The sequence below is a fragment of the Homo sapiens genome, chromosome 15 (genome assembly GCF_000001405.40).
Source record: "Homo sapiens chromosome 15, GRCh38.p14 Primary Assembly".
In the NCBI taxonomy this organism is placed as follows: Eukaryota; Metazoa; Chordata; class Mammalia; order Primates; family Hominidae; genus Homo; species Homo sapiens.
In genome coordinates this window covers 76,791,005-76,807,269 of record NC_000015.10, presented here as the reverse complement: position 1 = coordinate 76,807,269, position 16,265 = coordinate 76,791,005, and the positions used below count along the sequence as shown (strand labels likewise).

The window sequence follows — 16,265 nt, the reverse complement described above, 5'->3', positions numbered from 1 at the left end:
AAGCCAATACCATTTCATGATAAAAACATTCAATAGGGAAATTCCTTAACCTGATAAAGAGTATCTATGAAAAATCCACAGTTAATGTCATGCTTAATGGTGAAAGACTGAAAGCTTTCCCGTTGGGTAAGATCAGGAACAAGAGAGTGATGTCTTTTCTTGCCACTTACACACAATATTGTACTAAAGGTTCTAGCCAGGGCAATTAGACAAGAAAACATAATAGAAAACATCTAGATGGAAAGGAAGAAGTAAAACTGTACTTGCAGATGACATGATTCTATATATAAAGAACCCTTAAAGACACCTGCCCCCCAATTATTAGAGCTAATAAACAAGTTTAGCAAGATTATAGGATACAAGATGGACACTCAAAAATCAGTTGTATTTTTATACACTAGGAGTAAACAATCCAAAAATGAAATTAAGAAAGCAGTTACATTAAAATAACATCAAAAACAATAAAATATTTAGGCATAAATTTAAAGTAGTGTAAGATGTACACACAAACTATAAAATATAATTGAAAGAAACTACGAAAAATCATTGTAAGAAATAAGAGAAACCTAATTAAAGGAAAAGATATTCAGAATTCATGAACAGAAGACTTCATAGTGTTAAGATGGCTGTATTTCCCAAAGTGATACCCAGATTCAATGCAATACCTATGAACATTCCAATTGCTCCCTTCCCCCTTTTTGGCAGAAATGGACAAGTGGATCTTAAATTCATATGGGGATGCAAAGTATGTAGAATAGCCAAGACAATCCTGAAAAAGAACAACGTTTGAGGACCTAGACCCCCTGAATTTAAAACTTAGTACAAAACCACAATAATCAAATTCTGTGGTACTGGCAGTAGGATAGATATATGGATCAATGAAATAGATTTGAAATCCTTGGAATAAATTCATACGTCTATGTATGAATTTGATTTTTGACATGAGTGCCAGAACCATTTAATGAGGGAAAGAATAGTATTTTCAACAGTGGTGTTAGGACACCAGGATATCTGTGTGCAACAAATGAATTTGGATTTTTACCTCACACTGTATACAGATATTAACTGAATACAGTTTAAAGCCTAAATGTAAGAGCTGAAAGTATAACACTCTTTGAAGAAAACATATACATCTTTGTGACCTTGGACTATGACACCCAAAGCCAGAGAAAAAATAAATTGAACTTTATCAAAATTAAAAACTTGTGTGTGTCAAAGGATACTATCAAATGGAAAAATCACCCACATAATGGGACAAGATGTTTGTCAGCCATATGGTTGATGAAGGTCTAATACCTAGAATATATAAAGAACTTTATAGCTCAACAATAAAAAGGACAAATAACTCAGTAAAAAAGGGCAAAGGATTTGAATAGACATTTCTTTTAAGATATACAAATGTCGGCTGGGCACGGTGGATCACACCTGTAATCCCAGCACTTTGGGAGGCCGAAGCAGGTGGATCACGAGGTCAGGAGATTGAGACCATCCTGGCTAACACAGTGAAACCCCGTCTCTACTAAAAACAGAAAAAATTAGCTGGGCATGGTGGCACGTGCCTGTAATCCCAGCTACTTGGGAGGCTGAGGCAGGAGAATCGTTTGAACCTGGGAGGTGGAGGTTGCAGTGAGCCGCGATGCTGAGATCACGCCACTGCACTCCAGCCTGGGTGACAGAGCGAGACTCCGTCTCCAAAAAAAAAAAAAAAAAAAAAGGTAAACAAATGTCTAATGTACATGAAAAGAGGCACAAAGTTATTAGTCATCGGAGAAATGCACATAACCCCCAATGATAGCACTTCACACTCATTTAGGATGACTAGGATAAAAAAGTCAGAAAGCAGCAAGTTTTGGCAAAGATGTGAAGAATATGGAACTCTCATAAATTGCTGCTGGGAATGTAAAATGATGCAGCAGCTGTGGAGAAAAGTTTGGTAGTTAACTTTAAACTTAGAGTTATCATATGACTCAGCAAATCCACTTCTAAGTATATACCCAAGAGAATTGAAAACATGTTCACAGAAAAACCTGGATACAAAGTTTTATAGCAGCAGTATTCATAATAAACAGTAGAAACAACCCAAATATTTATCAAATGATAAATGAATAAACAAATATACTATATTCATGCAGTCATTCAGCCATAAAAAGAAATGAAGTACTGATACACGCTACCAGGTGGTTGAACCTTGAAAAACATTGTTAATTTTTAATAATATTGTTATTTAAAGATGGCATCTTATTATCTTGCCCAGGTTGGTCTTGAACTCCTGGACTTAAGCAATTCTCCTGCCTCAGCCTCTGGAGTGACTGGGACTACAAGTGTGCAGCTGGATTTATGTTTAGTGTACTTTTCTATATGTTAAAATTCATAATAAAAAGGTTGAAAGGATGGCTATTGGGGGAGGTTTTGAGAAGGAACATCAATATCATTTCTTGGTCTTTAGACTTTCAACCTATTATATTTCTTATTATCTTACCAAACAGAATGAAAAAAAAAATCTGTAACTTACGCAGCTTTTTCATTGAAGAGTATAATGTAAAAACTACTAATTCTTAAGTTGTTCACTCTTTTTTTTCTTCAAAGTTTTTAGTCTCAGACTGGAATTTAATTTTTTTTTGTTTTGTTTCTTTTAGGAGGTGCTAATGATGCTGGATAACTATGTAAGAGATTTCAAAGCATTGATTGACTGGATTCAGCTTCAGGAAAAGCTAGAGAAGACAGATGCTCAAAGCAGGTAATGAGCTCTCTGGTCTCAATCTTCCTATCATCCAGCAGTTTCAATAGCAATCACTGAAACGGACAATAAACTTAACCTCATATTGAGTTGAAACTTGTAAAAATCTAAAAGTCAGGTGCTGCATTTCTCATTCAATTAAATAACAAATATTTATTGGGTAATTATCAGTGGGTATTAATTGGGTATTATCACTTTATTCAGTACAGAGATTTAATTTTTGAATGTGACACATTTACCACTCATGGAATTTATAGACTGAGTGTGATAAAAATAGAACTTAGTACAAAAAACTATTACGGTTCTTCAGATAAGGACAAATCTCTTTTGGAGGATAGATCAGGGAAGATTTCAGGAGGATGCGGAAGAAGTGTTTCATGGATGGGATGGATTTTACCAGCTGGTTGGCCATTTCGGTGAAGGGAATAAATTTAAACAGCTATGTAAGTGTAGGACATGTGTGAAGTCAAAGTAGTAGGGAAAGATACAGTATTTCTTCTTAATGTATTAGGCAATGAGGAAAATTGATGATTTTTGATTAGGGGAATAATACGAGATCAAAGCTCCTTTAGAAGGATTCATTTGGAATCACCACAGAGTATCTGAATGCTGTGTGCCAAGCTCTGTGACTGTTGTGGTCAAGAGGACAGATGCAGTCCCTGCCTTCATGAAGTACATAGTACATGCTGTGGCCTGAATGTGCCTTCCCAAAATTCATATGTTGAAATTTAATCACCAATGTGATAGTATTAAGAGGTGGGGGCTTTAGGAGGTAGTTAAGTTGGGAAGGTGGAGCCCTTATGAGTGGGATTAGTGACATATAAAAGAAGTGGGAGCTGTTACCCCTCCACCATGTGAAGACACAGCTGAAAGATGATCTTTATAAGGAACAGGGCTCATATCAGACGTTGAATCTGCTGGCACCTTGATTTTGTACTTCCCAGCATCCAGAACTATGAGAAATAAATTTCTTATTGTTGTTTATAAATTACCCAGTCATAAGGTATTTTGTTGTAGCAGCCTGAATGGACTAAGTGCATTTCTAACAGGAAAGACTGATGTTAAGTAAGTATAAATGTGCCAAGTGTCATCAAGAAGAAATACAGCTTTCTCTGTCAGTATAAGAAAAAACACTCTTAACCAGTTTGCTAAGTCTAGGAAGGCTTCCTGAGGAGGTGACATTTAAATTGAGACAGAATTGTTAAGTAGGAGTTAGACAAAGAGAAAAGAGTAATTCGAGATAATGCTAACAGCATGTGTGATATCTTTGAAGTGAAAGGGAGCACAGTGTAATCAAGGAATTTAGTAGGGCAGGAGTGAAAAGAACAAGGGGAGAGTAGCATGAGATGAGCCTAGAGAGCTAGGCTAGGACCACATTGTGTAGAGCTCAGTAGAAATAATAAGGGATTTAGATTTGACTTTGAGCCAATAAAGGGTTTTAAAGTAGGGAAGTGACATATCAGATTTATGTTTTTAAAAGATCATTTTGGCTGCCATGTGGGAAGGTTGACATATAGCAATGTAGTTTAGAGATGATGGCTACTCAGATTAAGGTAGTAACAGTAGGGAGAATTAGATACTCTAGAAATAGATAATCAAATGGACTTAGTATTATTTTGGTTCTGTACAAAGGCAAAAGAGCAGTTTAGTTTAGACATCTAAGTAATTCCTAAACTCTGGTAAACTTGCCAAGTCATATGGAGCTACAAGGCTGCTTCCCCCCGCCTCCTGCCAAGCAAATAGGCCTATCCTGCCTCTTTGCTTTGGATTTAATCTTGGTTCAATCTTAGTGGGTGAAACTATCCAGTAAAAAAGGCATCTTTTATCTCATCCTGATGTGTCAGCCCTACAGGCAGTCAGAACCAGTAGGGTAAAGGAATTCCAAGGGAGAAATCCAGAAGGGCTGGATTCCCGGGAAACCAAATCTAGGGAAACTAAGATAGGTTGATCCTTTTAACATTTTTGTTTCTCACAGTAAAATTTTTGATGGTTTTTCAGTGCCTACTTCATCCACAGTCCCTGGGTGGGTCAGGCCTAAATGTCTTTGTTTGTACTAAGCAATTTTACCCTTACGTTGGTAATAGGTGATTGGATCTGGGGTTTCATTCTTTCACTGGGTTGAACCAAGCTAAGAGATCATCATGCTGATTTGGGACTTGTGGCTGTATTGTCTTTGTGACAATAAGCAGAGTAAAATAGGTTGGGAAAAAAAAGGGAATAGATTTACAGAGAGAAACAGAAATTATGTGGCCTTTGAGAGCCTATACCGGGTCTAATCCTCATGAGCCCTGATTCTAGTCTCCCCCAACTTTTGGATGTCTTTGACCTTGTACAGTTTATATCCTTACAATAAATCTTTATTTTCTTTTTCTTTTCATTTTTTTATTTAACTTGATTGAGTTTGTTTGTTGTATCCAAAGGTCTGTAATGTAATCACCAATGCATTAAAAAAAAATTTTTTTTTTTGTGCTTGCAAAATTCAGTTACCTATTGGTGGCTGTGTTGAGGATTGTATTGGAAAAGTTACATAAGCCAAACCCAAGCTTAACAGAGTGGTTACCATTCCTCTCTTGGCACTGTGGTTCAAAAATATACCTGAGGCATCCCTTTTTTTTTTTTCCTTGGAGACAGAGTCTTACTCTTTAACCCAGGCTGGAGTGCAGTGGTGCCATCTTGGCTCGCTGCAACCTCCACCTTCCACTTTTAAGCCTCAGCTTCCCAAGTAGCTGGGATTACAGGCACCCGCCACCACGCCCAGCTAATTTTTGTATTTTTAGTAGACATAGGGCTTCACCATGTTGGCTAGGCTGATCTCGAACTCCTGACCTCGAGTGATCTGCCCTCCTTGGCCTCCCAAAGTGCTGGGATTACAGGAATGGGCCACCATGCCTGGCTGAGGCATCCCTTTTACTTTTGCCAGTTATCAGCATTTCTCTTCTTTGCCTCATGAGACAGCACTTATATATGGAAAGCAGTCTTAAAGTGCTCTATAGATGGCATTATCCATCTTGCATTCTTCAAATCATGCATCAAAATTTATTTTGGCTAGCCTGGAGATTTAAATGTAAAAACTGAAGTTGTATATGTTTAAAGAAGAAAATATAGGTAAATATTTATATATTTGTTTTGCGTGTGAGGACTTTGTAAGACACAGGCAGACACCACAAAGAAAAATATTGATACACTGATTAAATAGGAAGAGAACAAATGTTTCCAACTAAAAAGGAAAAACTAAAGGCAAAATAGTTGTATCACCAATGCCAATGGATTTGTAGCCATAAGAGTAGTAGTAAACTATTTCAAATTAATCAGAAAATGGTGCAAATCCCAGTGGAAAAAATGAAGGAAAGATACCAACATGTGAATCGCAAATGAAGAAATTCAGATGGTTGGTTAAAAAGTTCAGTTTCACTAGTAATGATAATAAACGTATAATTTAAAAAACAAAGACAATGAAATACTATTTGCCAGTGAAATTTTTAAAAACAGATATCAACAGTTGGCAAGATTGAAAGGAAATGGAGAGTAAGACACAGGGATACCCACAGGAGTTATGGGGATCTGATTGAGGGCATGTTATGCATCCTGTAAGCCAATTGGTTGTGGTGCCAAGGAAGGAGGAGGAGTAGACGTTAAGTTATGTTTCTTAGCTTTCCCAGCAAAGAGCAGTGAAATCCTACTCTCGTGAGTGATTAAGAGGTAGAGGAAGGACATTTTATATTTTCCTACTCTTCATTTAACCCTTACCGTATTCTTTCTCTTGATACATGTTTCACAAACTCTCCAGGACATCAGAGACAAGTAGATTGAAGTAGTATCATTGCCTTTTAAACATTTTTTTAGCTGGGCATTTGGAAGCTTATAAATCGTAAGTAGCGTATCTCATATCCCTGTAACCCCATGACCTTTTTGAGGTAATTGGAGTAGTGTTGCTGTGCTGCAGTCGGTAGAAAATCCTGAACCGTTTATCAACTATGATTTCTCACTGATAGTATGGTAACTTTCTGGTAAGCAATGCTCTAGGGGAACATTTGCACATGTTGTGACTTTTTGTTGTTGTTGTTGAAAAGTAGGATTATTTTTTCAGCCACTAACAACCAAGAGAAAAGATTATTTGTTTCTCCCTTTTCTCTGTTAATTTAATCTGGTTTATATATTGAATTCGCAGACCAACATCATTGGCATGGGAAGTAAAGAAGATGTCTCCGGGACGCCATGTGATTCCAAGTCCATCAACAGATAGAATAAATGTAACATCAAATGCTCGACGAAGCTTAAATTTTGGGTGAGATGAACTAAGAAAAAACTACTAAGACTTGCATTAAATTATTTTCTTAGTTATTATAGTATTATGATTCTGATATTCTACTATAAAAATATCCATGTATATGTTATGCAGAATACTGTATACAGGTTCTGACACAGGAGGGGAACACTGTGTGTTGGTTAGCAATCCCGGGGAGGATTCTAAACATCTCATCAATTTCTGCTAAGGTTCCTAGATCTGATGGAAGGTTTTGCATAAACCCTGTTGCCACTGGAGGAGTTTGGTGAGTCATATGCTGACTTGCACAAGTTAGGTAAAGCAATGTTGTTACTCACAGATAGGCAGCAAGGATCAACAGAAGCCTAGGATCCATGGCAAGATAGTTCCCTGGGACTCAGGAAAGCTAACCAGGGGAATGGAGTTTCATTTGTGTGAGCTCCATTTATTACCACAGCCAAAAGACCCCAAAAGCACCCTGCTCTGGATTTTATACACCGATGTCACTTAGGTTATTGAGTGCAAGCGTTGCAGGCATCCTCTTCTACAGGGATAAGGACAAAGCCTGGGCCGTCGTGGGCAGTTCCTTCTTATTTCAAGATGTTGCATTCTTGGTACGTTTTGCCTGAAAATTGCAAGCCAGAGAGGGAAGAGCTGGGTTTACCAAGGGACCTGTCTTCCTGCATTGTGGATATGTTTGAAATTGTCTATATAAAAAGTAAAAACACCTGTAATCCCAGCACTTTGGGGAGCCGAGGTGGGAGGATCACTTGAGGTCAGGGGTTTGAGACCAGCCTGGCAAAAATGGCAAAACCCCATCTCTACTAAAAATACAAAAATTAGCCATGTGTCGTGGCATGTGCCTGTAATCCCAGCTATTTGGGGGCGGGGGCGGGTGGAGGTTGCAGTGAGCCAATATCACGCCACTGTACTCCAGCCTGGGCAGCAGAGTGAGACTCCGTCTCAAAAAAAAAAAAAAAATTCCAGGAGATTATAGTTTAGCTTTTAGGACATGGAATATATTCAATCATAAATAGTAATTCAAAGATTAAAACTCACATATTTTATGCCAAATATTATATAACATGAATTAACAATTTCCTTTGCAATAGATCTGTATATTAATACATATCATACATTGTGTTATTGTCATACAAATTACATTATTTATATATTACAAGCTCAACACAGTTTTAAAATTACTGTTTTTTGCCATTGTCTCTTTAATCAGGAGAAGAAAAGAGCTACAAACAAAAACTACATTTATATTGTCTTTTGTGGTTACCTGTATAGTTTTCTTTTCTAGTCCTTTACTGGAGTCTTCATTTCTTCATACAGATTCGAGTTACTATCTATTGTCCTTTTGTTTGAGCCTGGACTCCCTTTAGTATTTCTTGTTGGACAGGTCTGTTAGGAACAGATGTTCTCGGTGTTTGTCTTAATTTATCTTTCAGTTTTTGAAGGGCAGTTTTGTAGTATGTAGAATTCTTGGTTAATAATCCTTTCTTTCAGCACTTTATGTTTCCTTACTGCCTTCTGGCTGCTATGGTTTCTGATGGGAAATCAGCTGTTATTGAGGATCCTTGAATGTGATCCATCACTTCTCTCTTGATTCTTTCAAGATTGTCTGTCTTTGGCTTTTGATCCTCTGACTATGATATATCTAAGTGTGGCTCTCTGAGATTATCATACTTGGAGTTTGTTGAGTCTCTTGGATATGTATTTAATGTTTTTAATCAAATTTGGGAAGTTTTTGCCCATTATTCCTTTAAATGTTTTTTTTTCTGCCCCTTTCTCTCTCTTCTCTCCTTTGAAAATTCCACTGTACACGTTTGTACTCTTGATGCTGTCCCATTTGAGGATCTGTTCATTTTTTCTTTTTCTTTTTCTTTTCTTTTTTTTTTTTTTTAAGATATAGTCTTGCTCTGTTGCCCAGGCTGGAGTAGAGTGACGTGATCTTGGCTTACTGCGATGTCTACCTCCTGGGTTCAAGCGATTCTCGTGCCTTAGCCTCCTGAGTAGCTGGAATTATAGGCGCATGCCACCATGCCCAGCTAATTTTTGTATTTTTGGTAGAGACAGGGTTTTGCCATGTTGGCTAGGCTGGTCTCAAATTCCTGACCTCAAGTGATCCACCCTCCTTGGGCTCCCAATGTGCTAGGATTACAGGTACAAGCTACTGTGCCTGGCCACTTTGATGTTCTTTAAATGTAGTTAATAGCTGATTTAAAGTCTTTGTCTAGTAAGCCCAATGTCCGGGCTTCCTGTTGCTGCTCTTCTTGTGAATGGGCCATACTTTCCTGTTTATTGGCACATCATCTGATTTTTTTTTTTTTTTGGTTGAAAAGTAGGCATTTTAAATGATAAAATGTGACATCTTTGGAGATCAGATAGCTACTCTCTCCAGGATTGTTAACTGTGACTGTTGTTGTTACTGTTAGTTTAGTGCTACACTTAACTCATTCTGTGACGTCTGTATATTTTGTTTCATGGGTACACACAACATGAGTGTATGTTGATGTATGTTGTATGTAGCTATACAACAGTATGTTTTGTCAACATCACCTAACGATTTGACAGAGGTTTCCTTAAATACCTTGAGCCAATAAATCTCTTAGTTCTCACCTGGTTCTGTCTGTCTGTTGGGACATACTTTGAATGCTCTGGCAGTTTATAACTGCCTTTGCTTGTCAGTTCCTCCTTTCTTAGAGCCTCAAGGCCAGTCATAGGTAAGAGATTAGGGTCCTCTCAAATATTTCCTAGGTATGCACACAACCTGCATATGTGTGTGGCCTTCTTGATTTTCAGGAATTTGCTAGAACTTTTCAAAGCCTCCCATGGATGTCTCATTCTTGAGCTTTTCCTTTTAAGTTTTTTGGTCAGCTCTTTGTTTGCTTCAAATGGTATTTCAATCTCTGGTAGTTGTATTATTTTAAAAAATTGTCACATTTGTTTCGCACAAACAAAAAAATTGTTTTTAAGACTAAGTTGTTTTGGACTCTACTTCTTTAGAGTGAATGTTAACATCTGATGTTTAATGGAAGGGTTGGTAAGTAGTTTGCTTGGTCAGTTTTCTTTTTTCTGTTAAAACCTGACCTTTCTTGACTGCTTTTTATCTCCTAACTTCATGTCACAGTTAATAGCTTTCACCTCTTGTTACTGCTCAACCTTGGATACAGTTTTATTGTTACATTTGCAATGTCTTATACTCTTTCTTTTAATGTCTATTTTTTTGTACTTATACTAGGACCTTCTTTGAGGCAAGATTACTGCCGTATCTCTGTATTCTAAGTGCCTGGCACTGTATGGCATTTAGTAAAAGCTGATGAAGTGTTTGTTTAATAGAATCTAACTTTTGCTTTCAAGTTCCTTTATGGAGTTATTAGGTAGTATTGCCTTTAAAGGTTGATGGGCTTTGGAACCATTTAATAATTGAACCGTAGTGGAGTAGGGAAAAGATATATATGCAAATGAAAACAAATATTTATATATTCAAGCACCATTTTAAGGAAACTTGCCCTGTAATGCACTTCATTGGTGTGTGGTTCAGAGTATTGTATAGTGTATGGTTTATTGTAACACTCAAAGCCGTTAATTCGTGTGTGGTAAAAGTTCTTATATTGATCTGCACGTAACTGTGTCATTGGGTTAATTCAGTCTTCATTATCATCGTAGAACACACTGTTTCAGCTTGAGGAACAATTTTGGCTCATAGACTACATTTTGTATATCTACTCACTTCTGCTTCTGCTGGTTGAGTTATATATTTACTTCAAATGTGTTGTTAGTTACCAAACTTGGCTTATGTGAATTGTTTTCATTATTTTAACTCATAATTTAAATATTAAGTAGACCATTAAAATATGAGTGTAAAAAGAGTCATTGTTTTTGTGAAAACTAAGATAAATTTTTGGAAGCTTTGATAAAGGGAACTGGTAAAGTTGCTGTCAAATGAGGAGTACACAGGATAACTATAAAAATTTGGGGAAAATATTATTAAGGTTAAGGAGAATTGTGCATTAAATTATATAATAGACATCACTGAATTTTCACTCCACTTTAAAGGAACCAAATTTAGATGTTGTCAGTGAGGCATCATGCTTTTGGTTCATGTAAGAAATGTACACAAAGAAAAAGCCTCTTTTAGTAGTGTCTTTATCAAGATTGACGAATTAATGCATATTTATGTCTTTTTCTTTTTTTAAATTGAGATGGAGTCTCACTCTGTCACCCAGGCTGGAGTGCAGTCGTGCAGTCTTGGCTCACTACAACCTCTGCCTCCTGGGCTCAAGCAATTCTCATGCCTCAGTCTCTCGAGTAGCTGGGATTACAGGTGCACACCACCGCGCCCAGCTAATTTTTGTTATTTAGTAGAGACAGGATTTCACCATGTTGGCCAGGCTGGTTTTGAACTCTTGGCCTCAAGTGATCCACCTGCCTTGGCTTCCCAGGGTGCTGGGACTACAGGTGTGAGCCACTGTGCCTGGCCAATATTTGTATTATTAAAACACATAAGTGAAAATGAAAACTTTAAGGTACCTATGCATAATTTTTTAAAAGCTTCCTCATTTAAGTGAAATTTTCTTTTAAACAACTGAGGGCTTTTATCCTTTTCTGTTTATTCCCATATGTTATACTATATAAACTTAATGAAGTATTAGATCAAGATAAATTTATAAATATAGTTACCTTAAATTGCCGTGGCAGATTATTATTCTATATATGTGGATATTCATATGCATAATTTAAATTTTAAATACATTTAGCATATATTCAGAAGTTTTTCTTTTATATTTAATTTATTAAATGTGTTTATTTTTCTCCATAGAGGTTCAACTGGCACAGTGCCAGCTCCTCGTCTGGCTCCCACAGGTGTCAGTTGGGCTGACAAGGTAAAGGCTCATCATACAGGCTCTACTGCTTCTTCAGAAATAACACCCGCCCAGTCTTGCCCACCAATGACAGTGCAGAAGGCCTCACGCAAAAATGGCAAGTGACTTCGAATTAGCCATTTTGTGTAGTAAACAGGTGGATATATAGAGATACTTATTTTGTTTAAAATTGGTCCTATTTATCTTTTTGTACAACATACGTAATATTAATTTACCATAATTAAAACATAAAATTATCTTAAAAGCCGAGCAAAACTACTTTTCAGCACTGTAGATAGCTTATGGAGATCATTCTAGTTTCAGGTTTGCCATGTGTAAACTTTAAAGAGAATGAGGTCTTTTGTTTATTCATTATAAGATCCTTTAGAATTCTTTTGACTTCAGGTAGGAACAAAAAAGCCTAATTTAGTCTAGGCAGAATTCACTTTTAAGTAGCATGTTACTACTTCAGCTGTTCAATACTTGATTGTTATTTTGTACTGCAAAATAATATTCTGTGTTTATCTTTGCTCACACATCCATTTTCTATACCATCAGAATAAGGAATACAAATAATTAGAAGAGGGATTATTATGAGGGCCCACCTAGAACAATTTTATCCCATAAGAATTATATAGATGTTTTATGTAAACATCTTTTTATGTAGAAGTCCCAAGTGGATTTTTATACATCCACAGAGGCTGGGATTTTAGAATGATAATAGGTAATAATGAGTTTTGTTTCATGAGTTCAAGAGAACTTCAGACACTGCTTTCTGTTTTCTTCAGTGGAAGATGCCATTGGAACTTTTCGGTTCAGAAAGAAATGTTTTATTGCACATAACAAAAGACATTGCTGTCTTTGTGTTATGGATGTGTTTTGTGTTTTTTCATTTTTTTCTCAGTAAGTTGTGTTGGCTTACTTCAATATATTGCCCCTCTTCATACTAACTTAGTAGTAGACAATTGACTGTAGGCAAGACTTCTTTTAGGAAGAGGTAGGAAAATACACAATCAGAAAACGTAGTTTCTGTATCTTGAAAGATTCTAAGAGAAATGTGTTGTAAAAATCAAAATTGCAAAAAACTTAAAGGAATCATGGTATTAATACATATCACAGTTTCGTTTAAAGCAGTCCACTTCAGATTATTCATGAATAACTCACCTAGTTGAGGTGAAATAATAGATCTTGATTATATCTATACTTATGGTAACTCTTATTAATGTATTGGGAAATTTTATTTTGGACCAGTTTCGTCTTCAGTTTTGGGGTTTCAGTGCAGTGTTATACACAGCGAGTTATGCCATTCTGTGGGAAAAGCAAACTGTTTTTCCTCTGCTCTCATGCCACAGCAATTAACACAGAAGACTTCTGTGACCTCTGATCACCATGAAGTATGTGGGGATTTCTCCCCACCAACAACCAATCAATCAGTTCTGCAGCAGACACCAGCTGGTTGTCCTCGAATTCAATTTAATTCTGACGCTGTGGAGCTGTAGATAGTGTCAGATCCCACAGGTTGAGGGCTCAACCCCACAAGACTGCCTCCCACTTCTGATGCCAGTAACAAGCCTCAGGTTATTTTACCTGTGCTCTGACCAACTAGCTATAAATCAGGATTCCGACTACCTACTTCTTGGATTTGATTAATTTGCTAGAGTGGCTCACAGAAGTCAGGGAAACACATTTATCAGTTTATTATAAAGAATATTACTAAGGATACAGATGAAGAGATGCCTAGGGCAAGCTAAATGGAAAGGGAAGAAGAGCTTCCATGCCTTCTCCAGGCACACAACCCTCTAGGAACCTTCAAGTGTTCAGCTATCCAGACATTCCCTAACCCTGTTTTTAAAAAAGGTTTTTATAGAAACTTCATTATCTAGGCATGATTGATTAAACCATTGGCAAGCAACCTAACCTTCAGCTCCTTTCCTTTCTCCCTCCCTGAAGGCTGAGGAGTTGGGGCTGAAAGTCCCAGTGTTCTAATACTGCCTTGTTGTTTCCAGTGACCAGCTTCCATCCTGAAGCCACCTAGGGGCTGCCAGCCACTTGTCAACTCATTAGCATACAAAAAGACACATCATTTTGGGAATTCCAAAGATTTTAGGAGTTGCATGCCAGGAGACTTGAGATGAAGACCAAATATATATTTTGCAATATCACAGGTGTATACTTCAAGTAATATATAATAACAGTAGCTATAGAACTGAAGTTTGTAATTTTTGTGTTATAAAAAATAATTCTAGTTAAAGATGATAGAGTGACCACATGCATTTAATGTTCTCTTCCCCAAACCCAGCTAAAATGGTATAAAATGATTTAGAAATTGGACTTAAGGAAAAAGAGACGGGAGAAGAGATGATATGAACAAGTTTTTGGAAGTTAGAAAGGAGAAAGATGGTGGTAACTGACAAACATACGGAGTGAGCTAGCTGAATCCTGTGCTAAAAAGAGGAGGCACAACTGAATACTCCCAATATCTATTTCTATGTAGCAAGCCCAAAACTTAGCTACTTAAAACAGTTACCATTTTATTTCCACATAATTGTTTGAGTCAGAAATCTGAGCAGTGCTCAGTGGAGTGGCTCTTTTCTTTTCCACATGGTGTCAGCTATGACAGTTGAGCTGAAACTAAAGTATCCAACATGATGTCATCACATGATTGAAGGCTTGGTACTGGCTTTGGCTAAGAAACCCAAGTTCTTCTTACAGCCTCTTTCTCTTCACATGGTCTCTCATTATTCAGTGATATTTCCTGGGCTTCTTTAAATGTCATCTGGCTTCCAACAAGGAGAGAATGAAAGCTGCAAGGCTTCTAAGTCCTTAGTTGGGAAGTTATAGAACATCACTTACCATATTCAATTGATCATATGAAGTCACAGGGCCAACCAGAGATTCAAGGGAGGGTGAACAGTCTCCACCACTCAACAATGGGAGTGGCATGTAAGCACTGGGATGGGAGAAATTGATGGCACCCATCTTTGTGAACAATCTACCAGAGCCCACAATCTAACTTTAGATTGCCAGTCTCCCAAGACTGCCAGTGACTCACTCAATTATAGTATCAGCCTTGAAGACCTGTATCTCATGATCTATATCAGATTTGAAAGTATTCCTTGAGTGTGAATTTTCTTAATCTGGAAGCTTGGAAGTTCAATGGGAGAAGAGGGCTGGAGGAAGAAGTGAGGATGAAAGTCCTCAATATTACCTTTATATCTGAATTTCCTGTGGGTGTACTTTAAAATCATTTTTTTTGGAGTTTTACAATTATTTGACCTTTTTTTTTTAAGCATCACTCACAGTCTTAACACTGTGTATTAAAGATTATAGAGCCTCCAGCTAAAATTATTGGTTTTTTTTTTTGTCTGGCAAGATGATAGAGAACAAGCAGATCACCCAAGTCCCCTCCCAAAGGAGAGGGTGATCTGCTTGTTCACTATCATGTTGCAAGACAAAAAAAAACCAATCATTTGTTCTCCATCTCCCTTTGGGAGGACTTGGGTGACCTTTGGTTTGGTTTGAGATTTTATTAAGTTTGATGTGTTTTAATTAGTCCTTATGCCTTTTGGGGTCTCAAATGAAAAGCTAGAATGTTCGCCAAGGCCACTGCATTCCTGAATTTAAAATTTTTTCCTCAGCACTATACAGTTGCTACAATATCAGCTTAGCTCATTAGCTTCTCAGCTGCTGCTTTCTGCTAGGTTTCTTGGAGTCTTGCCCTGTATATGCAAAGTTTTTTTTTTTTAGCAGTTGTCAGACTTCTTAAGGAGAGATTAATTGAAGATTTTTTGACTCAATTCCCTGCAGTACTTTCCCACCCCCTCTAAGATTTTTGCCCCGAAGTTCCAGTTGCTTTAGATTCTCTGAATTCTAATATCTGTTTCAGTTGGCTGGGAATGCTGGTTTCTGCCAGGACTCACTTCCCCTGCACCCTAAATTCCAGGTGTTTTAGGAGAAAATGCTGTAGTGAATCCACATTCACTCATCTGATCTCGTTGTCCTTCTCTCTTCTCAGGAATTGTAGTTCCTTTAAATTTGCCACATCGGCTGCTTTTCAATGCTGTTTAATTTTTTATAGTTGTTTTTGGCAGGAAGAGGGCAAATTTTAGCACAAGCTCCTTCACTGTGGCTATAACTGTAAGTCCAAATACATAATCAAGCACATATGGAACATTTACCAAAATTGAAACATGCTGGGTCATTAGACATGTCTTAACAAATTTCAGGTGATTTAAATGATTCTGTTTGTTGCTGATCACAGTGGGATTAAATTAGAAATCAATTTACAAAGAATATAGTTAGATAATGCCCAAATTTTGGGAATTTTGGAATTTGCTTTTAGATAACTCATCGAGTCAGAGATGATACCACAATGAAAATTAGAAAAAGTGAA

General features: G+C 37.1%; 1 protein-coding gene across 29 annotated transcripts in view; it reads left to right on the top strand.

The window, feature by feature from the left end:
* The window catches only part of SCAPER (S-phase cyclin A associated protein in the ER), a 557,437-nt gene that overhangs the window by 98,071 nt on the left and 443,101 nt on the right, over positions 1 to 16,265 (top strand). For 26 of the 29 annotated variants that reach the window (XR_007064448.1, XM_017022273.2, XM_011521653.4 and 23 more), the window contains 3 exons: positions 2,637 to 2,737; positions 6,906 to 7,022; positions 11,830 to 11,990. Coding sequence is in view for 27 of the 29 variants with exons in the window: in NM_020843.4 (NP_065894.2) it covers positions 2,637 to 2,737; positions 6,906 to 7,022; positions 11,830 to 11,990 (379 nt within the window). In the remaining 2 variants the exon portion in view is untranslated. Of the gene's footprint in view, positions 1 to 2,636; positions 2,738 to 6,905; positions 7,023 to 11,829; positions 12,030 to 13,878; positions 14,038 to 16,265 lie in introns of those variants that run through there. The other 3 variants (NM_001145923.2, NR_148227.2, XM_047432627.1) reach the window with 3 other exon arrangements.